Here is a 23,710-nt window from a genome sequence, read left to right on the forward strand (position 1 = left end):
CTGACTCAAAAAATAAGCCACCCGTTCGCTGTCATCTTGGACAGTTGCTTTGCTGAGACCCAATTTTCCCATCTGTGAGGAAAGAGGATCAGTTAGGTGATTTCCAAAAGTCCCTTCTGTTCTGTGATTCTGTTTTCTAAGAGGTGGACAGCAGTCTTTGGGAATAAAAACCCAGCCAAATATTAGACAAAATGTCTGACAGCATCCTGACTGATAAGATGGCCAAGTGGAAGCTTGCAGGCTGCAGGTGGAGATGGGTCACAGCAGGCTGAGTAATGACGCTTAAGGAGTATTGATTAGTATGGATCAATAACAGCCCAGCAAGGAAGTCTCTAGTGATGTGTCACAGGACTCTTTTATTTTACTATTTCCTAAGACAGGGTCTCATTCTGTCACCCAGGCTGTAGTGCAGTGGCACAATCATGGCTTACTGCCGCCTCAACCTCCTGGGCTCAAATGATCCTCCCACCTCAGCCTCCCAAGTAACTGAGATGACAGGCACAAGCCAACACACCTGGCAAATTTTTACAAATATTTTTGTAAAGACGGGGTCTCGCTGTGTTGCCCAGACTGGTCTCAAACTCCTAGGCTCAAGTGATCCTCCCACTTTGGCCTCCCAAAGTGCTGGGATTACAGATGTGAGCCACTGCTCCCGGTCCCACAGGGCTCTTTTAAGGTCAACAACTTGAACGAACCTACAGAAAAGAAGTTGAAATGTATACAAAACACAAAACAGAGAGGGCTAATGCACAAGTGGATGAGAGACCCATGATGAGAAGACCATGGTTCAAAATGGTCTTCATAAAGCAAGAGATTGGGACAAAGGTGACAAAGGCAAACAGAACCAAAGATGAATGCGAGTCCTGCAGAACTCAAGGGCTGGGAGAGCTTGTCTTGGCAACAGGCCTTAGCAGCAGGCTGTGCAAATGTGACCTGGGCATCTCTGCTGCCCACGTGGGTTCTTGGGAAGCCAGTACTGGGCCATGGCTACTGAAGCCCATGGCATTTGAAGCTGCACTGAGCAGTCACACATGGGGTCCAAGGAGGGGAAAGAAGGTTTCCATCCTAAATGGTCATCCCTGAGGTCCCATGTGCCACGGAGGGGACCACTGATGCTTTAGAACGAAAGTCAGAAATTTTCTGTAAAGGACCAAGTAGTAAACGTTTAAACTTTGGGCCATACAGGTTCTGTTTTAGCTGTTCCACTTGGCCTTTGTAGCTCAAAAGCAGCCACAGACAACAGTAAACAAATGCGTGTGGCTGTGCTCCAATAAAACTTTATTTACAAAAACAAGTGGTGGGCCAGATTTGGCCCTTGGGCTGTAGTTTGTTCTCCCAACTTTGGAAAAAAGGGCAGACATCAGGGTGGCGAGGGTTCTGGAGGTGGAGGCCAGTGTGGATGGGTAAAAGAACCAGGTGGGGCTCAGTGGGGAGAGGTAGGCATACCCCCTCAGTGGCCCCAGATGGAGAGCCATGTGGGGGAAAGTGAGAAGGGGGCTTATTTTCATCCATGCCAGGGAAGACCCCCATAAAACAACAAAGGAGTGATTCTGCATTATCCGAGGCTAGGGATGGGGGGACTGGGCCTGGTGATCTTCCACACCTTGGCCTCTGCCTCCTGGAATGGCCCTGTCTTCCCATCCTTCCCTGTCCCAGCACTGGGCTGGGACATTCTGCCTACATAGTGAGACATGAATAATACCCTGGAGGCACAGCCACAATCCCTTCAATGATGAGGCTCGAGGAATCAAGGAGGCATTTGTAAGGCTGGCTTGATGAGAGACTTCAGCAAGCCCTGAGGGGCTGGGGAGGCCTCTGGCTGCCGATTATCCTCCCTACCATATGGGTGATGGAAAGCTGGCTCTTCGGGTGGGAGGCCTGGCCCAGAGCTGGGCTCTCAGAGCCTGGTTTGTGCCTTGGGGTTCCCCTCTGGTCCAAATGGTAGTAGGCAGTAGGATGAATTAATTCCTCTGGTCCTTTCCAGCATAGGCATCCTGGGACCACGGAGCAGCCACCAACGACTACAGATGAAACACAAGCCTCTCCGGTCACTTTTTGCTGGCCGTTGGAAGGAGGCTGTTGAGTGGGAGTGGAACCTCCAGGTTTCCTGGGGCACTATTCTGGATCCCCTCATCTCAGCTCTGTGAGGTCATGGCTAAGCCTGAAACAGGTCCCAACTCATTCAATCTTGCCATAAACCTATGAAATGGGTGTCAGCCATGAGGCTTTGGTTGCAAATAACAGAAACCCCAACTTAACTGTCATATGGAAGCAGAGAAGCAACTGACTCTTTGCCAGAGGCTTATGTCATGACTCCAAGTAGTGAGGGGGTGGCTGTTCAGGTCAAAGGATTAGCAACAATGACTGGCTTAAACAACGAAAAACTGCATCTATGATCTTAGCAACAACATTCAGTAACATTAGGTATCACCAGGGAGGAGGACGCCACCTCCCTGGTGATAGCTGATTGGACCAGAGGGAAGCCCCAGTCCCAGGGCAGCCAATCAGCAGCCTGCAAGCAGCCAATGAGATGGCCTGGAGGGGGAGTTCTGCCCAATCACAATACCAATAAATAAGAGGTCCAGGCTGGATCTCTGTCTTGGAGATTTGAGCCGGAGATTTGAGCGAGAGATTTGGAAGAAATGTGGGGCAATCTGTAGAAGGAGCAGAAGACAAAAATCACACTGAAGGCAGTGAGTGGAGGAGCTTGTGCTGCAGGATACAGAAGCCAGGAGAGAGTGAGGCGCAGGCAGAGCCAGCCTGGCGAGGACTAAGCCATGTTTAAAGCCATGAATGGAAGGTTCTCTGTCCCCAGAAGTGAAGCAGGACTTTCCCAGTCCCCAGTTTGTTCTGGTCTTTAGAAGCTGGCGAGTGGCCAGCCATGAAGGCCATGCCAAGTGACTGGCATGGCTGAGTTGCTATCCTTATATGTGGCCTCCCATCTGCCCCTCGCCTTCACTGGAGAGGCAGCAAGGAGGGCATTGAAGCCTGAAATTCTGAAGAATTTTCTTGCAGGATTATGGTGTGGCGTAAGCCAGGCTTCTTGGGCCAGGTTCTCTCTCTACAGGGCATCTCTGGGGAATGTGTGAGTGCTGGGAGTGGTACCTAGGTCTCTAGGCCCCCTGGACTTTCCAGTGCCATCCCTAAACTGGGGAGTCTTTCCTGAGCCTGAATGAGAGTGCTTTGGTCGGCTAAGGCCAGGGAATCAGCCCCAAAGCAGTGTTTCGGGAGGAATGGGCTGCCAGCCTCATCCTCTGCCCTGGCCCAAACCAGGATTGTCAGTATGGGGTGTAGACAGAAGGAAGAGAGAGTGCGGAGGCCCAACGGGGTCTCCAGAGTATGGGCCACCTGTGCCTCTTTTCTGCCTCCCACCCTCACCTGCATTTCACTGGGGGCCCCTGAGTTTCTCAGACAACAGAGACCATCCAAATACCTTGTAACTGAGGGTGCAGTCATTGGAGTCCCATCAAACTCCCAAGTCCACCATCTACTGTGAGTCAGGCAAGTCACCTAACCTCCCTGAGCCTCCATTTTTTCATCAGTGAAATGGGAGTGATCATAGTGCCTCCTACACAGAGCAGGGGAATTCAATGAGTCCCCACTTGTGAAGCGCATGAACCTGTGCCTGGCACACGGCACATGTGGATTAGACACCTCCTGTAAGCAGGGGCTCAGGGAAGGGAGCCAGGAAAGAGGGATGTAGAGAAGACAGGGGGCAGAGAGAAACGTTAAAAGAAGAAGAAGGAGGGGAGAAGGGTGTGAAGAGGCCAGAGAGGAAATGGGTCTCCCTGGGGTGTTGGCCTTGACCTCTCAGGCCTGGCTCAGGTCTGACTTTCTTGTTCTTTCTTCCCCCATATAATCTCTCTCTGGAATGCTGAGAAATTCTGCTTCCACCCCCCAGCAGTTGCCATGGTGATGAAAACCTGGACCCAGTGGAAAGTTCTCTGTGCTCTTGGCAACAAGGCTGCAGCACCCTGCCTCCCCCCGCCTGCCTGTGCGTGGGCGGCCAGCTCCGGATGCTGCCAGGATTTGGGGCCAGCACGGCCTGTCTGCAAGACCCAGCCCTGCCCCCATAGAATCTAGGATGGGAGCTTCGGCATATCTGGTGCTGGGGGCTCCCAGAGAATATCTAGCCAGTCCCATTTTACGGATGGGGCACTGGGCCAGAGAGGATCGGTGGCTTGTCCAAAGCTGCACAGACCCCCTGGGGTCTCCCTCCTGGGCTCAGCTGTGATCAGGTGGGCACGGAGCACCCGGAAACATCGCAGACAGGGGACTAGCCACATGGCAGACCAGTCCCAGAAAGCAGGCCAGCTGCTGGAGCCAGGGAGATGCAGAAGACAAAGGGACTCCAGGAAGCTGGACACTGCCTTCCTCTTCTCTCCCAGACACAGTGGTGGGTGGGTGCGAAGGAGTGAATGCTTGTGTCCCTCTACAATTCACATGCAGAAGCCCCAGGCACTAGTGTGATGGTATTTGGGGTGGGGCCTTTGGGGGTGATTAGGGCATGAGGGAGGAGCCCTCACAGTGGAATTAGTGCTGTTGTGAGAAGAGACAGGAGAGATGATCCCTCTACCACGCGAGGGTGCCTGCAACCAGGGAGAAGGCCCTCCGCAGCCCGACCATGCTGGTACTCTGATCTTGCAGACTTTAGAGCTGCAATAAATCCATACTTATTGTCGAAGCTGCCTTGTGCACAGTAATGAGTTACAGCGTCCTGAGCTGACTCAGACAGTCAATTTGTGGGGGTGCTGAGTTTGCTCCACTCTCAGCAGCCCCAGCTCTCAGACTAAGTGGAAGGGCACAAGCCAGCCATTTTTTTTTTTTTTTTTTTGAGACAGAATCTCACTCTGTCGCCCAGGCTGGAGTGCAGTGGCATGATCTCAGCTCACTGCAGCCTCTGCCTCCTGGGTTCAAGTGATTCTCCTGCCTCAGCCTCCTGAGTAGCTGGGACTACAGGCGCAGGCCACCACGCCCAGCTAATTTTTTTTTTTTTTTTTTGAGACGGAGTCTTGCTCTGTCGCCCAGGCTGGAGTGCAGTGGCGCAATCTCGGCTCACTGCAAGCTCCGCCTCCCAGGTTCACGCTATTCTCCTGCCTCAGCCTCTCGAGTAGCTGGGACTACAGGCACCCGCCACTGCGCCCAGCTAATTTTTTGTATTTTTTAGTAGAGACGAGGTTTCACTGTGGTCTCAATCTCCTGACCTCATGATCTGCCCGCCTCGGCCTCCCAAAGTGCTGGGATTACAGGCGTGAGCCACCGCGCCCAGTCAATTTTTGTATTTTTAGTAGAGACGAGGTTTCAGCATGTTGGCCAGGATGGTATTGATCTCCTGACCTCGTGATCCACCCACCTCAGCCTCCCAAAGTGCTGGGATTACAGGTGTGAGCCACTGCTCCCAGCCAAGCCAGCCTTTAGCAACCTCCCTGCCAGGGTCCTGGGGGCCCCTATTTGTTTCCCCTCCTCTTTTTCCTCCTCCTCAGCAGGCTGAACGTTGGTCCTGAAGTTTGCTTCCAGCAGAGGCCAACGGCCTCCCTTTAAGGCTGGTAGGTCCTTAACCAGCTCTCTCCTGCCTTCTGCCCACCCAACTCCTTCTGTGTTATTTTTCTTTTATGTATCCCATGTGCTATGGTCTGAATGTTTCATGTTGCCCGGAAGTTTATATGTTGTCGTCTAATCCCCATTGTGATGGTATTAGGAGGTGGGAGCCTTGGGGAGGTGATTAGGTCATCAGGCCAGACCCTCATGAATGGGATCAGTACTCTTATAAAAGAGGCACTGAAGAGCTCCCTTACCTCTTCCACCATGTGAAGACACAGCAAGAAGACAGTTATCTGTGAGCCAGGAAACAGGCCCTCACCAGACACCAGAGCTGCCAGCACCTTGATTTTGGACTTTCCAGCCTCCAGAATTTCTGTTGTTTATAAACCACTTAGTTTATGATAGTTTACTATAGTAGTCTGAATGAACTAAGATACCATGTTTTCAAAACTTCTCTTTCTCTGTTTCTTCTTGAGTGAGGGACTCACTCTGTTGCCCAGGCTGGAGTGCAGTGGCACGATCATGGCTCACTATAGCCTCGACCTCCTGGACTCAGGGAATCTTCCAGTCTCAGCCTCCCGAGTAGCTGGGATCACAGGCGCACACCACCACAACTGGCTACTTTTTCATATTTTTGTAGAGATGGGGTTTTGCCATGTTGCTCAGGCTGGTCTTGAACTCCTGGGTTCAAGTAATCCACCTGCCTCGGCCTCCCAAAGTGCTGGGATTCTAGGCATGAACCACCACCCTGGCTGTCTCTTAAGCAAACAGCTATATTGAGTAACGACACACACAATAGCCCATTTTTGATCATCAAAGCCCCACAGAATCCAGGCTTTGCCTACCCCAGAGACACGGGACTCTTCAGGATCTTATATGGTCATGTGATGGATATGTGGGACAGTTTCATAAGCTGAACACTGTCACTAGTGCAGGGCCTACTGTCTGCATCCCTCAGAACCCTGCAGGTGAAGGTTCCCAAGATGACATCAATGGAATTTCCTGCAGGACCCACAGGCCCATATTGGGATGGGATGTGGGTCGTCCCAGGAGCTCTGGCCATGGATCAGACTGAGGCCAGACTGGGCCATATCATGCCTACCACAAACTTCCCATGGGACTCAACTGCTCAGACATTTTGGGAGTGTGACATGTCCTTGTGGTTCTTGCCAAGAATCCAGTTATTGGAAAGAAGGGGCCTCCCACCTTGTTTCTGATGATAAAACTTGGACAATGAAACTACTCACTGGGTGCCAAGGGCTTTCTCTTGTGCCATCTCAGTGGCCCCAGAAGCTGTGGCCCCCAAAATACAGACTAAACCCATGGGTTCTAATTTTTCATGGAAATTGGTGTTGGGACATTTCCCTAGAGATGTCTTCATTACACAGGAGCATCAGTTTGATCTAGAGATGGGAAGTGATGGCACAGGCAGGGGATGGCTACAGTGTCCAGAGCCCAGTTCCATCTCTGTCACTCCTGAACTATGTAATCATAGAAGAATCACATCACTCCCTCAGCCTCAGTCTCCAAATCTGTAAAATGGAGCTCAGATTATCAGCCACTATAATTCCTCCACCAGGTCATATACTCCTTTGGGCAAGGACTGTGCTCTTGTTCTCTTCTGTGTTTCCGACACAAAGGCTACCAGAATAGCCCTGGCTTAATCAAAGGGTAGGCACAGATTGTGAGAGAATTCTTTCCCCTAGACCATCCACCACAGATTCATTTCATTCATGAATTCATTTTTCTGTTCAACCAAAATTTAATGTCATTATCTATATGCTGGGGACACAAGAGTGAGGGAAACGAACTGAGAGCTTACAATTGACTGATAGGACCCAAAAGGTGGTCACTGCACACTGGAATGTGGGACATATAGGATGCTGCCCGAACACGAAGGAGGACACCTACCTCAGTTCTGCAGAGTCCAAGAAGACTTTCCCGAGAAGCTGACAACTCAGCTATGACCTCAAAGATAAGATGGCTTAATGTAAGCCAGAAAAGCAGGTTTAGAATTCCAGGAAGTGGAGAAGTAAAAGTATGACATGGAAAGGGACGGGGGAGGGAGAGGAGCCTCTGGGACCACACAATCCCCCCTTCCCCCGCCAACTGCTTTGCTAAGAAACCACCTCACTCACCCTGAGCAGGGACTAGTGAGGTTCAGGACCATGGAGAGCACCACAGTGATCTTACAGGCACCATTTTGCTCTTGCTAATTACCTAAAGGGCCCCGCTCGGGTTAAAGCCTGAGGAGACGAAGGACAGGGTCTGGGGGTGCGGAAACCACCAGGCTGGGGGCCAAGGAGGGAGAGTCCGGGGGCCAGCTAAGTCTGGGGAATCAACTGTCAGCTCTCAAACTGCATGAAGGCTGTAGTCACAGACCCAAGGGGAGCCTGGTGAGTCACACTTAGGCCTGGGAGCCCAGGAACCCTGCTGGGCACAAGGAAAACAGTGGGATGATGGAGACAAGTGGTTCTCTAAGGTCTTTGTTACCCAGACTGGAGTGCAGTGGTGTGAACATGGCTCACTGCAGCTTCGACCTCCCGGGCTGCAGTGATCCTCCTGCCTTAGCCTCCCAAGTATCTGGGACTACAGGCATGCACCACCATGCCTGGCTAGTTTTTGTATTTTTTGTAGAGTCGGGATTTTACCATGTTGGTCAGACTGGTCTGGAACTCCAGGACTCAAGCGATCCGCCCACCTCAGCCTCCCAAAGTGCTGGGATTCAGCAGCCCAGGGAACAGGCCCAGGGGATGAGCTGCTGCAGTGGGATCTGTGGTAGGGCTCCTTGTCTCCCAACCCTCAGCAAGAAGAGTCCTGATCCAACCCTGACCAGAGTCCAGCTGAGGCCTCCACACAGACCCCACTCCGGCCAGATGAAAGCCCCTGTCAAAGAAGGGGCAGGTTGGGGGAAAAGCAGAAAGAATGTCCCCCAATCCAAACTCCTGGACCCCCTCCAGGAGAGAAGGGTTCCCCCTCTTCTCTTCCTGGAAGAGAAGTGTTTATCCCCAGGCCCAGTGCACCAAGACCACCAGCAGAACCCACAGCCCTTCCTGGCAGAGTTGGCAGCTCTGAGGCACCACTGCTCCTGTAGCCTGTGGCCCCTCTCTCCTCCCCTCCCCTCCCCTCTCCTCCCCTCCCCTTTCCTCCTGTCCCCTTCCCCCCTTCTTTCCCTTCTGCTCCCCTCCACACCCCACATGTTATGCTCCCAGCTCTGGGGAGCCAGGCCCTCCCGTCTTGCCTCCTGGTCTTCTCTATTCTGCTGGTTCCAAACCATCCCCTGGCTCAGCCTGCCATCCCCCACCCTGCTCCTGCTGCGCACCCTCTGCCTCCTCATCCTCCCCTCCCCTATCTAGGCTAGGTGGACTCAGGCACCCCAGGCCCTCCTTAGCAAAGCCATCTCTCCTAGGTGCAGTGGTCCCACCTCCCAACCCCATCACTGCCCCCTACCCCATATTAACTGTAATTTTGTAAGAAGAATGACTTGTTGGTTTAATAAATCTCTAGTTATTGTAATATTGTAATGATAATTTAAAAAAACACACAAATTGTTGGGATTACAGGTATGAGCCACCACGCCTCGCCTGGTCTTTTTTCCTTTTTTTTTTTTTTGAGACAGAGTCTCGCTCTGTCACCCAGGCTGGAGTGCAGTGGCATGATCTCGGCTCACTGCAAGCTCCACCTCGGGGGTTCATGCCATTCTCCTGCCTCAGCCTCCCCAGTAGCTAGGACTACAGGCACCCACCACCAAGTCCGGCTAAGTTTTTTGTATTTTTAGTAGAGATGGTGTTTCACCGTGTTAGCCAGGATGGTCTCGATCTCCTGACCTCGTGATCTGCCCGCCTCGGCCTCCTAAAGTGCTGGGATTACAGGTGTGAGCCACTGCACTTGGCATCTTTTTTTCTTTTAGAGATGGGGTCTCACACTGTCACCCAGGCTGGAGTGCAGTGATGTCTTCATAGATAACTGCAGCCTCCAGTTCCTAGGCTCAAGCAGTCCTTCTGCGTCAGCCTCCTGAGTAACTGGGACTACAGGCACACACCACCACACCCGGCTAATTAAAACTTTTTTTATATAGAGACAGGATCTTGCTATGTTGCCCAGGCTGGCCTCAAACTCCTAGCCTCAAGCAATCCTCCTGCCTTGGCCTCCCAGCTAGTTCTCTACTTTTTAAAATCAGAAGCCCTTTGATAATCTGACGAATGGTAAATAATACATTTAGAAACTTATAATAAGGCCAGGCATGTTTTCTCATGCCTGTAATCCCAGCACATTGGGAGGTCTAGGCAGGTGGATCGCTTGAGCCCAGGAGTTTGAGACTAGCCTGGGCAATATGGCGAAACCCCATCTCTACTAAAAATACAAAATTTAGCCAGGCAAGGTGGCACATGCCTGCTGTTTCAGCTACTTGGGAGGCTGAGACAGGAGGATCACCTGAGCCTTGGAAGGTCAAGGTTTCAGTGAGCTGTGGTTGCACCACTGCACTCCAGCCTGTGCAACAGAGTGAGAAAGAAACTTAATAAGTAAGTAAATGTATGGTGTGGTATGTTAGAAATTGATAAACGCTGTGGGAAAAAAGGAAAACATTCTCCCCCTGAAAAACAAGTGACCTCTGGAATTATATGAACAAAGTTGGTTTTTAGCCCTCCTGAGCCCTCCATGGATACAGCTCAGAACCAGTGCCCCTCCAGGTTATGACCTTCTCTACATGGAGTGGGGAAGAGGGAAAGAGGGAATGGGCTGAGTCTGCCTGGACCCCCAAGCCAGGTGTGGGGGGACCTCTGCCCCGACCAGCTGCAAGGGGCATCCCCAGGCCCCTGGCTCCTGACTTGCAGCCCCTCCCTCACCACTGTATTTACCAATTGAGCAACTATACTGTATCAGTCACAAGATGATTAAGATGCTGAAGGTGATCAGGATGCTGGAGGTGATATTAGGATGCTGGAGGTGATATTAGGATGCTGGAGCTGATATTAGGATGCTGGAGGTGGTTAGGATGCTGGAGGTGGTTAAGATGCTGGAGGTGATATTAGAATGCTAGAGGTGGTTAGGATGCTGGAGGTGATATTAGGGTGCTGGAGGTGATATTAGGATGCTGGAGCTGATATTAAGATGCTGGAGGTGGTTAGGATGCTGGAGGTGGTTAGGATGCTGGAGGTGATATTAGAATGCTGGAGGTGGTTAGGATGCTGGAGGTGATATTAGAATGCTGGAGGTGGTTAGGATGCTGGAGCTGACATTAGGAAGCTGGAGGTGATTAGGATACTGGAAGTGATTAGGATGCATTGGTCAGCAGAAGTAAAGTTAATGCCCCCAGACAGCTCATATCCTAGTGGGTGCAGACAGATAATAATGAACACGGTAATTTAAATTATATAGCACATTCAAAGTGGTTAGTGCTCTGGGAAAAACAAAAAAAGCTTAGCAGGGTAAGGGGGTGGGGAGTGCGGGGATGGGCTTGGGTAATGTGTTTGGGGGTCAGGGGGCTGCAATTTTTTAAACAGAGGTCAGAGTGGGCCTCACTGAGAAAGCGACCCCTGAGCAAAGACTCAAAGGGGCTGAGGGGCTTGGTCATGCAGATGTGGGGGAACAGGGCTTCAGGCAGAGGGGACAGCCAGTGCAAAGGCCAGAGGAGGGGAATGTGGCTGGTGTGGAGGAGGACCCAGCACAGGAGGCGTGGTTGGAAGGAAGTGAGGGGGCAAGGGGACCAAGCCATGGGGAGCCCTCATACAGACTGGCTTCTGCTCAACGTCACAGCAGGGTTAGAGCAGAGGAAGAACATGATCTGACTTAGATTTAAAGGGCTCTTGTGGCGAGAATGGATTGTGGAGGAAAGGGGATTGGTTAGGAGGCTCTAGCAGTTACCCAGATGAGAGGTGACGGCTTGGACCAGGATGACGGCCAGGGCCGTGGAGAGACCAGTCAGACTTGGGATAGATTCCGAGGGTAGGGACAGCAGGATGTGTGGATGGATCAGAATGGAAGACAGAGGGGATTGAAGGATGACTTGGAAGTCTTGGCCTGAGCTACTGGAAGCATGGAGTTGCCATCCCCAGAGATGGGGAGACTGCAGAAAGGGCAGCCTGCGGGACAGAATGGGAGTTGGATTTGGATGTGTTGTCTGAGGTGCCCACTGGACATCCCAGGGAGACACTGAGGAGGGATTTGGAAACAGGATTCTGGATTTCACAGCCCAGAGTGGCTCAAATGGGACCCGCCCTTAGAAGGCCACCTGAACCCAAGGCCCGTCAGAGCTGGGACATTCTCCTCCACCACATTTGCATCACTGACTACGTGCATCCAGGGTGGGTCACCACTGTCTTCCCAGGCAGCTGAAAGAAGGATAGATACTGAGTGGAAGGATAGAAGGATAAAGAGTGGATGGATGGAGGGTTGGATGGATGGATGGATGGATAGAATGGGCATTAGACTGGAGGGAAGGAAGGATGGAAAAATGAAAGAAAGGAAGCAAGGAAAGGTGAATAAATAAAATAATAGTTGGAATCTATTAGTTTATTTGTGTGGCTGGACATCCCTGACTGAGGCGTTCTTCCTACACCAAAGGGACTTCTGTCCCACAGGCCTCAGGGCCACAAGGAGAAACACACAAGGAGAAATGTTGCAGCCTCAGAGAATGAGAGGCAGAGAGGAGATAGGAAGTTCCCAGTGCCTGTCTGGAATACTTGGTGAGACCAGGGGTCCCCAACACATCCAGGGCTTCCCAACAAATGCCCCCTTTCTCTTAAGCTGGCCCCAGGGGCTTCTGCTACTGCTACCAGAGACCCCTGCCCGGCCAAGCCACGTACAGACAGAGAAGCCATGAGGATTCCAAGAGATAATGCATCAAATGCTTCGCCCAGTGCCTGGTGCAGAGAAAGTGCTAGATGCAACGAGATAATCACCTGGACCCTGCAAGCATCCAGGAGGGTGCTGGTGGGGAAGGAGACCCTTGAGTTAAGTGCTAAGAGATGGTCAAGAGTTAACCCAAGAGGAAGAGATGGGGAAAGGAATTCCAAGAATTCCCCTCCAGCCCCCAGGTCCGCAAGCCATCTCGTCTTCATACTGAGCATGTCCAGCTCCTGCCAGCCCCTCTCCCATAGCCAGTGGTCCTGCCCTTCTTTAAAAGGTAGTGCCCGGGGCAGAATCTTGCGAGGGGACATAGCCCAGTATTGATGCCGCAGAGACTGGAGCTGTGTGACATTGGGCAAGGTACTGAACTCCTCTGTGCTTCACTTTCCTAGTCTACAGACAAGGGGTTGGTAACAGGACCTGCTTTGTTGACTTGTTGAAGATTAAGTGGGCTCATGCCTGCCTGGATCACGCTTGGAAAGACTCCAGACATGGTGGGCTCAGGGAATGTGAGCACAGTGGGGGCCTGGTGCAGGACTGGCCTCAGCTCCTGCTCACCTGAGCAAACCCTGGCAGGTCCACCTCAGCTCAAAAGCCTGGTCCAGTCCGTAAGCCCAGGCGGCTCTGCTTTATGGAGAAGGACATGGAGGCAGCTCAGAGTGGCCAAATAACACATCTCAGACCCCACTGCCGGCCCAGGGCAAACTCAGCCAGAGACCCAGCTCTCACTCAGCAGACGACCAGTGGCCAAGGAATCGAGTGAGGGTGTGGTTGGAACCTAAGCTGCAGCCGGAAGCAGAGGAGACAGCAGGACTGGGGGACTGGGGAGGAGAGAGGAGGCAGGTTCCGGCCGGAAGAGGGAGAACAACCACGTCCGGAAGGGCAGTGGAAGCTTCGGCCACAGACACCTGGCTGTCCCTTTGGGTCCCTCACAGTCCCCTCTTGCTTCGGCATTCAGTCCGGGGCTGCAGCAGAAAAGCCATTTGCTGAGTCACCCAGCAGCATGCACAGCCCGGAGCTTCCTCTGGCTATCAAGAGTCCCCACTCAGTTCCACTTCCCGGCCCTGCAGCCCCAGGGGCCTTGGCGGCTGCTCCCGACTGTCCACCTGCTGACTGCGCATCCCTGTGTAGGCCACTGCACCTCTGTAAGTCTCAGGCTCCGGAACTGTCCAGCAGGACTTGCTGTCACCAGGATGCAGGTCCCAGGAAGACAGGGATGCTGGTGACCTGTTTGCTGTGTATCCAGGGCCTACAGTGGAGTCAGGTACATGGTGTTCAGAAAGTGTTTGTCAAGTAAATGAAAGAATGAATGGGCCAGACGCAGTGGCTCATGCCTGTAATCCCAGAACTTTGGGAGGCCGAGGGAGGCAGATCACTTGAAGTCAGGAGTTCAAGACCAGCCTGGCCAATGGTGAAACCCTGTCTCTACTAAAAATACAAAAAAAAAAAAAAAAAATGAGATGTGGTGGTGGGCACCTGTAGTCCCAGCTACTTGGGAGGCTGAGGCAGAAGAATCACTTGAACCCAGGAGGTGGAGGTTGCAGTGAGTCAAGATTTCGCCATTGCATTCCAGCCTGGGCGACAGAGCGAGACTCCGTCTCAAAAAAAAAAAAAAAAAAAAAAGAAAGAAAGAAAGAAAGAATGAATGAATGAATGAATGAATGCCTAGCCTGCCTAGCCTTGGTCAGTACTGGAGACCAGGGGAGCTAACAAGCAGCAAAAGCCAGTGCTACAGATCTGTGTGCCCACTCTTCCGGGGTGCCCCCAGGCCCCAGACTCTCCTTAGCTGAGCCTAGACTCACCCTGCCCTCTGACCCCTGCTTCTCTTTCATGTTCCCAGCTCCAGCATCATCACCCCTGGCCACCCGCAGGACCCCCCTCAGTACCACCGCCCTCTTCCTGCCCATCACTTGCTCCTGCTGCCACCCACACCACTCTCCACTCTGCTCACTCTCCCTCTGAGCTCCAGCACCTTCACCAGTGCAAGTCATCTCCTCTCTTACCTCCCAGGGTGACCTTCCCCCTGCCTACAGTCACATTCCTCAGCCCTGAACATTCCTTCCTCCCCTCCCAGCCAGGGGGGCCTTTCTTCTAGGGCTCCCCTTGTCCTCAGGACAAAGTCCAAATTCTTCACGTGGCTCACAGAGACTGGGCTCTGGCTCTCCTCTCCAGCCCCCTCCTCTCCACCCTCTGTCCTGTTAGCACACAACGTGCTCTTCATCACCTCCCTGCTCTCCCATGCCTCTGTGCCTTTGCCCATTCCCTTCCTTCAGCCTGGAATGCCTTCCTTATCTGCATGATAAACATTCATTTCCCACCTCCCCCAAGAGCACCTCGGGAACCCATTATGACCACCTGAGGGCTGGCGACTCCACCCTAACTTGCATTACTTCTTGGAAACACATCTATTATATTGCATTTCTCAAGTTGTACCTTAAGTATTTGAAGTCTTTCTTCCCTATGAGATGTTTCTAGAATAGGCTTATGGTTTATTCAGATTGAAAAATTTGGACATGCATAAAATGTAAATATTTAAATATAACTAGTATCCAGTTCAAGCAGGTACTCATAAATATGTAATCAATGAATGTATGATGGGTAGAAAGGACGGGTGGACCAATGGAAGGAGGAAAGGAAGAATGATTGGCTAGATTGAATGATGGATGGATGGAAGTGAGGAAAAGGAAAGATGGATGGATGGTTGAATGGATATATATGGAAAGAGTATGAAAGAAAGAAAGGATAGTTGAATGGGAGGAAAGGAGGATAGATATTGAGTGGAAGGATAGAAGGATAAAGGATGCAAGGATGAATGGAGGGAAAGATTGACCATTAGAATGGAGGGAAGGAAGGATGGAAAAATGAAAGAAAGGAAGGAAGGGAAAAGGGTGAATAGATAAAAGAATAGCTGGATTCTATTAGTTGGATAGTTGGATTCTATTAATAGTGAGATAAATTAATGGAAGGATGAAAGGAAATAAAGGATGAAATGATGGATGGATGTTTGGATGGACTGATGGAAGAATGAAAGGCTGAAAGGAACAATGTAAGAGGTTAGAGAAGGAAGAATGGAAGGATGGGTGAATTAATGGCTGGATGCCTGGATTCATGGCTAGACGTGAGAGTTCTTATGCCCCTTCAGCTGGTCAGCTCCCTCAGAAGGCAGTCTGGAACTCCCAGGTGGCCCCTGCAGCCGGCCTCCATTGCCAGATCTGCTACATTTATCTTGTATATTTTGACTTTAGTCAATAAACAAGTAATCTATTTGTGGTTATTAAGGAAAACTAGAATGCTAGAGGCCAGTTAGCCTAATAGATTCAAGGTGGTTTCAGAGGACATGGGCTCAGCCTGTCGAGGTCATGTCCGGGTCCTGCGATACCTAACGAGCTCAGCTCAGCTAACTCCACCCAGAGCTCTGCATTCTGCTTTCCACTTCCCATCTCTCCCAGGAGGTTCGTTCAGAGCAAGGTCTGCCTGACCGCTAACCTAGGGAGAGATTTTTCATGGAACGCATGAGAAAGGGAAATGACCTCAACCAAGGGTTGAGGCTGGGGAGGCCTGGGCAGGGGCGGCTGCCTTTCCATACCGAATGTGACCCTGGGCACATTCTGGAGCAGGAAGAAGAGATCTGGCCCAGTGCCAGCACCCAGGCACCCTGCCAGGGCCATGACACAGAAAATGTTGGGCAGCATTGGTCTGGGTGCCCAGGGAACCCTTGGGGGAGGTGAGCAGGCAGGTCAGGCTGCCCTCATTGAACCCAGAACAGGGCCTGGGTGTGGAGGAGTCTGTGCCCTTGGTCCCTGGTGCCCTCACCTCCTCCCCCATGGTGAAGGTCCAATAGCTGAGCCTCTATGGTGTCCCCAGCCCTCTCCTCTCCTGGTAGCACTTTCTGCTCTCTTTCTTTTTTATCTATTTATCTATATCTGTCTATCGATGTATTTATTTTATTTTATTTTATTTGAGACACAGTCTTGCTCTGCCACCCAGGCTGGAGTGCAATGGCACGATCTTGGCTCACTGCAACCTCTGCTTCCAGGGTTCAAGCCATTCTCATGCCTCAGCCTCCTAAGTAGCTGGAACTACAAGCACACGCCACCACACCCGGCTGATTTTTATGTTTTTAGTAGAGGCGGTGTTTCACCGTGTTGGCCAAGCTGGTCTCGAACTCCTGACCTCAGGTGATCTGCCCACCTCAGCCTCCCAAAGTGCTGGGATTGCAGGCATGAGCCACTATACCTGGCCTATTTATTTATTTTAGAGACAGAGTCTTGCTCTGTCACCCAGGCTAGAGTGCAGTGGCACCATCATAGCTGAGTGCAGTCTCAAATTACTGGTCTTAAGCAATCCTCCTATCTCAGCCTCCCAAGTAGCTGGGTCTACAGGCATGCAGCATCATGCTTGGCTAATTTTTACATTTTTCATAGAGACAGGATCGCACTATGTCGCCCAGGGTGGTCTCCAACTTCTGGGCTCAAGCAATTCTCCCACCTTGGTCTCCCAAAGCGCTGAGATTACAGGCATGAGCCAACCGTTCCCGGCCCCCTGCTCTTTTTCTCAGCTCCTCACACACCAACTTCACTAATCAAGTTTCCAGAAGATGCTTGCACACCTGTGGTATCCACACACTGCCCCGCATCTCTGCATCCCAGGTGGGCGGCCATGACCCAGAAGATCCATGCCTGGGATCCCAGCCACTCCCTTCTCCAATGTCCTTCCATGCACAGTCCCCACGCTGGGACACCTGGCAGTCACTTCCCCTGGAACTTCCACCTTCACCCTCTCAGCGAGCCTTCCAGCAGCCCTGGGTGGGGGTCAAGCGGGGGGGCCTGGAGTTTCTATTACACAGACACGGACCCAGAACCAAAGGCAAGAGAGGTCAGAAGAGGCCACACAGTTTAGTGACCGAGGGATACAGATTCTGGAAGTTTCCATCGAAGAGAGGTAAAGACTTCCCTGTTTGGCCAGGCACAATGGCTCATGCCTGTAATCCCAGCATTTTGGGAGGCCCAGGCAGGCGGATCACCTGAGGTCGGGAGTTTGACACCAGCCTGACTAAAATAGAGAAACCCCATCTCTACTAAAAATACAAAAATTAGCCGGGCATGGTGGCACATGCCTGTAATCCCAGCTACTCGGGAGGCTGAGGCAGGAGAATCGCTTGAACCCGGAAGGTGGAGGTTGCAGTGAGCCAAGATCGTGCCATTGCACTCCAGCCTGGGCAAAAAGAACAAAACTCCATCTCAAAAAAAAAAAAAAAAAAAAAAAAAAGACTTCCCTGTTTTAGCCTCTCCATCTAAGTATGTGAGTCCTGCTGCCTGTTTTCTTTAAGTAAAACAAAGCAGATATTTTCAAACTGCAACTTAGTTTTTGTTTTCTCCGTTTCTTTCTGGAAAACAATTCAGAGATTGCCTTCCATGCTTCACGACCACAGAGACTGAGCAAACCTCTGCTTCGGAAAGTCGGGGGCAAGTCCAAGTTTCCCAGGGAGGCCGGCCCTGCCATGCGGGGTTGGGTTTTCTTGCCTTCTCTTGTGCAGAGTTGGCCAATCCCTGCCGCCAGGCCTCAGACACTCAGCCCTTTGTGGGCCTTGCACCCACTGCGGTTTTTAATGTTGTTATTTTTCAGAGTTAAAAATCTGCGGTTTTTAATTGCACCTGAGGATGCCCCCCTGCTCTGTTCCTAGCTGGTGTTCGACAGGCGGAACGGAAGGATTGAAGGTAAGATTCCAGGCCTTCTGTGTTGGGGTGGTCATTCACGAAAACACACAGCAATATGTATTTACGCAAGCAGAGACGTGTCATAGAAATCTTTATGGAGAACTAGGCATAAAGTCTAATTTTAAAACATGTGTTTGTATAAATTCATCTTTTTATTATTTATTTGTTTATTGACACGGGGTCTTGCTCCAGGCTAAAGTTCAGTGGCGTGATCATAGCTCACCACAGCCTCCAACTCCTGGGTTCAAGCGATCCTCTTGCCTCAGCCCCCTGAGTAGCTGGGACTACAGGTGCACACCACCACGCTTGGCTAATTTTTAAAAAATTGTTTTGGGCCAGGCACGGTAGCTCATGCCTGTAATCCCAGCACTTTGGAAGGCCGAGGCAGGTGGATCACGAGGTCAGGAGTGGGAGACCAGCCTGACCAACATGGTGAAACCCTGTCTCTACTAAAAATACCAAAATTAGCCGGGCATGGTGGTACGTGCCTGTAATCCCAGCTACTCAGGAGGCTGAGGCAGGAGAATCACTTGAACCCAGGAGGCAGAGGTTGCAGTGAGCTGAGATTGCGTCACCGCACTCCAGCCTGGGTGACAGAGTGAGACTCAATCTCCAAAAAAAAAAAATTTTTTTTTTTACACAGAGGATCTGGCTACATTGCCCAGGCTGGTCTCAAGCTCCTGGGCTCAAGCAATCCTTGTGCCTAGGTCTCCCAAAACACTGGGATTTACAGGCGTGAGCCACTGTGCTCAGCCTGAATTAATATTTGAATTGCACAAATTTATAGCAAATGTGTGAAAGTATTATACTTTGGGATTATTACTGCTCATCTTTAAGAGCCTGGCCTTCTGATAGGCCTCCTTGCCCCTTCCAATCTGCTTTCAGCAGCAGCTGAGTGATTGGGGTGAAACTTAAGGCACACACATTTAGGAGAGCATCAGAAAACTTCCTCTGTAAAGGGCCAGAGGGTAAATATTTTAAACTTTGCGAGTCATACAGTCTCCACTGTAGTAACTCAACTACTCTGCCAGTATAGCACAAAAGCGGCCAAGCACAACAGTAAATGAATGGGTGTGGCTGTGTTCCAATAAAACTTTATTTGCACAAAGAAGTGGTGGGCCAGATTTGGCCTTTGGGCTGTAGTTCGCCACCCCCTGGTTTAGAAAAAGGACACATATAAATGACCAAAATGGTGAGCGTTCAAGAGGTAGTGGCGCGTGTATATGGACTGAGGAAAGAACTGGGTGGGATTGGTTTAGTGTGAAGACTCAGAGAGTTAGGCATCCACCCCTAAAACACCAAGGGATGGTGACAGATCCATTCAATGGCCCCAGAGCCCAACTGTAATGCGGGGGACGTAGCAAAGAGACTTATGTTCATTCACGACAAGAAAGACCCGATAAGCAATGAAGGGGTGAGTCCCATATTCTTAGAGGCATGCAAGCAGAGGCTGGGGGTTGGGGAGAATTGTTCTTTTTTTTAAAAAAAATTATTTTTATTTTAAGTTCCGGGGTACATGTGCAGGATGTGCAGGTTTGTTACATGTTACATAGGTTAACGTGGGCCATGGTGGTGGGGGAGAACTGTTCTTATACATCCAGTCCTGCTCTTAGAGTGAGAGAGGTTCTCTGTTCCTGCTCAAAACTCTCCACAGTCCCTGCTTTGCTCAAGGCAGAGGCCAAAGTCCCCGCTAAGGCTGACCACCTGCCCGTCCTGGCCCCACTGCCTGACCGCCCTCACCTCGCACTCTCCTCCCTCTCTCAACTCCAGCTCTGCTGCTTCTGAGTTGTGGCCCAAGCCCCTGACATCCCCCACCTCAGTGCCTCTGCTCAGGCTATCCCTCTCCTGGAGTCTCATCCCCAGACGTCACCGCAGAGGGGACCAGACATGTGGGGAGAGGACCCTCTTGTCACTCAGCCCTCTCCCTGCCTGCCCTGGTCCTTGACTGCTTGTTCTCCTTAGCGCTCACCTCCACTTAACGCGCCATTGCATTTATTTATTTGCTCGATGGTCTGGCTTCCCCTACTAGAATGTCAGCTCCATGAGGCAGGGACTGGTGTCTGTGGTTCACGTCTGGATTCCCAGTGTTTAGTGCCTGGCTCACAGTAGGTTTGCAATAAATATTTACTAATATGGCGGTTGTCTTTTCCAGAGCTGACCACAATACCTCCCAAGCCACTGTGCTTCTTACAGCATGGCGCCAATACCCGTCCCTTTGAGAAGTGGAGTCTTTGTTCCCTTCCCTTGAGTTTTGGCAGGACTCTGACTATGTCAGAGGTAAATTTATGTGACTTCCGAGACTGGGTCATGAAAGACAACACCGGTTCTGCCCAGTTCCTTAGAATGAAGGAAGGCTGGCACCATGGTGTGAGGAAGCCGAAGCCACACAGAGGCTGCACGTGGATGCTCCAGCCAACTGCCCCAGCTGAGGCTCAGCCGCCAGACATGGGCATGAAGACATCTTCAGAACAACTCTGGCCCCAGCCGCCGTGATGGCAGGAGAGGCTCCCAGAGAGAACCAGCCAACCCCCAGGACTGTGGGACATAGTAACAAAATCTTGTTGGGGGTGATATTTTACCTAAAGAACAATGAACAAAAAATGCTGATGTGTCATTGGTGCCTCCAGTGTTCCTACCTCACTGTTCTGAGACCTCACTTTTCATACCTTCCCCCTCAGAGTATGCACTCCTGCTTCTGTGCATTTTCCGGGCCCTGCCTTCCTCTGGTGTTCTCTGGAAGCTTCTCCTGGTGGCAGGGGGTATTCTGCTCTCTCCTCTAGCATCTGCTGAGACTCCTTCTCCTGGGAGTTGACCTCTGCAGATGTTCCCAGGCTTTGGGGTGCGTGGGGACACCTCTCTTCTTAAGGTGCTTCCCTCCTTAGGGTGGCCAGAGCAGATGCCACCTGCACGGAGGCGGAGGCCCCCTTAGTCATGATCCTGATGAAGATTCCTTGCTTGGCCAAACTTTAGTCAGGCTTCTGAATCTTCTGCTACACCCGTCTGGGCACTTCCTTGTAAAACCCAGTTTTAGCAAAAGAACCTGTGAAGTCAGTTTAGGCAGACCCCCCATCCTAGATCGCTGATCACCGTGGAGACCTGAACGAACGGGGTTCCTCATTCTCCGCCACCCCCGGGCACTGTCCGATCACCCTGCCTGCAGCAAGAATCCTGTTCGGGCGGTTTTGTCAGATGTTTCCTCTCAGTGATTTTCCATCCGCCGACACCCGTTCTGCCTCCTCTGCTATAAATCCCCACCTGCCGGGCTGGTCTTTGAGGTTGAGCCAGTTCTCTCCCTCAGCAAGACCCTGGTGCAGTGGCCCCTATACCTATCATGACGGTCCTGAGCGAAGTCCTCCTTACCCTGCCTTAACCAGTGCCACCGAATACACCAGTCCTCAATACTGGCTGTCCTAGAAACTGTTGCCCACTCTGGGCTCCTGCTGCCACCTCCACCACCAAGAGGGGGAAACTGAGGCACGGTTTTGTCTTTAATTCCCAGCTGCCTCCATGAGACCTGGGAAAACTCACCCACCATCACGACCACTTCAGGCCTCTGAAGGGAAACATGAGCCCAGAGAGAGCAGAAAGTCCTTTCTCCCTCCTGGACCCCAGACACTCCTCTTTCATGGACCTTCTTTCCAAGATGACTGACAGCAGCCACTCCACTCAGCTCTCCCCTGAATCCCACCCCCACGCCCATTCAGGATGTGGTGCAGCTGGTCCCAGCATCATGATGCCCCAAGAGCCTGGCACTGGTATTTTCCTGAAAGTCTGGGCCAATTGATGTTACCGTCCATGACCACCCGGAGGCTTCTGCTTCCTTCCAATGCCCTCTGGCCACAGGTTGGGGCAAGCTCCTCCACTCACATTCTGTTTTTTTTTTGGTGTGATATCGGCTCACGGCAACCTCTGCCTCCTGGGTTCAAGCTATTCTCCTGCCTCAGTCTCCCGAGTAGCTGGGATTATAGGTGCCCACCACCACGCCTGGCTAATTTTTGTTTTAGAGACGGGGTTTCCATGTTGCCCAGGCTGGCCTTGAACTCCTGACGTCAGGTGATCCACCTGCCTCAACCTCCCAAAGTGCTGGGATTACAGGAGTGAGCCACTGTGCCCGGCCAGCACCCACATCCTTCAGGAGCCATGACAGAGGTGCAGAGAGGCAGGGCGGGGCTGGGGCTCAAAGCCCAGGCTCCAGGGCCAACCCAGGTTTGCACCCCAGCTTTGTGACCAAGGCCATATCTCTTCACCTCCCTGAGCCTCAGTTTCCTACTCTGAAAGGGGGATAATAGCACCCCTCCTGGGGCTGTTGTGAGGATCGAGGAGGTAACATGTAGAAGGTGCTTTGCCTGGTGCTTGGCACATAGTAGCAGACAACAAACAGTGACTGTCATTATTGCATGTGACACAGTCAGACAGCCAGGCAAGGCACGAGTGGCCCTGTGTTCCCATCTCTGGTGGCTCACCCAGCTCTACCGCCCCCTCCACCCCGCCTCACCTTTGGTGGCGCACAGCCCAGTTGTTCTCGTTAGACGATGCTGCTCTGCTCCCAATGTGTCACTCACGTGAGCCAGCACACACCTCATCCCTGCCCCCATCACTGTTTTGCTGGAAGAAACCCAGGAGCCAGGGCCTCAGAGCCAGCTCCCCCTGTGCCCGCCTTCTTGGTCATGCAAATCAGAGTGAGCTCTTCCCCTCTGCCTGGGCAGACTCCCGCTGACTCCCCCTTCATTCCTGTCCACTTCTCCCCAAACAAAACAGAAAGGAGGGCCCAGGAAAAGAAGGGGTATCAAAATCTGGCTTTTGAATCAGGCTCAGAATGAATCAAGGTTTGGCCCCTGGAAGCAACATGAACCCCCAGAGGCTTGCGAGGTGCTGCTCTGCCCCTTACTAGCTTTGTGGCCTTGGGCAAGTCCCTTTACCTCTTTGAGCTCCAGCTTTGTCACCTCTGACACAGGGACAGTAGTATAAGCCCTGGGGCACTGTACACTCCTGCCTGGCTCTGAGCTGAGCCATGTTGCCTCTCTGAGGCCACTTTGATTTGGTCTGTCCTGTTCCTGGGTCCATAATTCCTGCCGCCTGCCCTCCCACACAGAAGTCCGACAGGGTTACAGGCGTGAGCCCCTGCTCCCGGCTAGCACTTTGGGAGGCTGAGGCTGGTGGATCACCTGAGGTCAGGAGTTCAAGACCAGCCTAGTCAACACAGTGAAACACCGTCTCTATTAACAATATAAAAATTAGCTGGGCGTAGGGGCGCACACCTGTAATCCCAGCTACTTAGGAGGCTGAGGCAGGAGAATTGCTTGAACCTGGGAGGCGGAGGTTGCAGTGAGTCAAGATCGCACCACTGCACTCCAACCTGGGTGACAGAGCAAGACTCTGTCTCAAAAAAAAAAAAAATAAATAAAGGAAGAAAGAAGAGAGAGAGAGAGAGAGAAAAGAAAAGAAAAGAGAAAAAGAAATCCAGGGTGACGCATGTTCGGATCAGTGTGCCCTTCACCCTTTTGGCACCTTGATGGCCGGACCTTCCACTGTGTCCCCTGCAAGCACCTGTGCCCAGCACAGAGCCATACACAGAGAACCCCACCTGGGTCAGATTAGCAGAG

The 23,710-nt window shown here is 51.8% G+C and overlaps 1 long non-coding RNA gene across 1 annotated transcript, besides 3 other annotated features; it reads left to right on the forward strand.

The window, feature by feature from the left end:
• Positions 8,025-8,524: an enhancer, noted in NCBI's record as "H3K4me1 hESC enhancer chr14:90962117-90962616 (GRCh37/hg19 assembly coordinates)". NCBI's record gives its function as "activates a minimal SCP1, AML or CMV promoter by ChIP-STARR-seq in primed H9 embryonic stem cells {active_cell/tissue: H9 hESC(primed)}" and the evidence as "EXISTENCE:reporter gene assay evidence [ECO:0000049][PMID:30033119]".
• Positions 13,280-13,990: an enhancer, noted in NCBI's record as "H3K27ac-H3K4me1 hESC enhancer chr14:90967372-90968082 (GRCh37/hg19 assembly coordinates)". NCBI's record gives its function as "activates a minimal SCP1, AML or CMV promoter by ChIP-STARR-seq in naive H9 embryonic stem cells {active_cell/tissue: H9 hESC(naive)}" and the evidence as "EXISTENCE:reporter gene assay evidence [ECO:0000049][PMID:30033119]".
• Positions 17,996-20,721, forward strand: LOC124903359 (uncharacterized). Its single transcript, XR_007064301.1, has 2 exons — positions 17,996-18,107; positions 20,260-20,721. It is a non-coding gene; the product is annotated as an uncharacterized LOC124903359 (long non-coding RNA).
• Positions 21,866-22,699: an enhancer, noted in NCBI's record as "H3K27ac-H3K4me1 hESC enhancer chr14:90975958-90976791 (GRCh37/hg19 assembly coordinates)". NCBI's record gives its function as "activates a minimal SCP1, AML or CMV promoter by ChIP-STARR-seq in primed H9 embryonic stem cells {active_cell/tissue: H9 hESC(primed)}" and the evidence as "EXISTENCE:reporter gene assay evidence [ECO:0000049][PMID:30033119]".

The sequence above is a fragment of the Homo sapiens genome, chromosome 14 (assembly GCF_000001405.40).
Source record: "Homo sapiens chromosome 14, GRCh38.p14 Primary Assembly".
In the NCBI taxonomy this organism is placed as follows: Eukaryota; Metazoa; Chordata; class Mammalia; order Primates; family Hominidae; genus Homo; species Homo sapiens.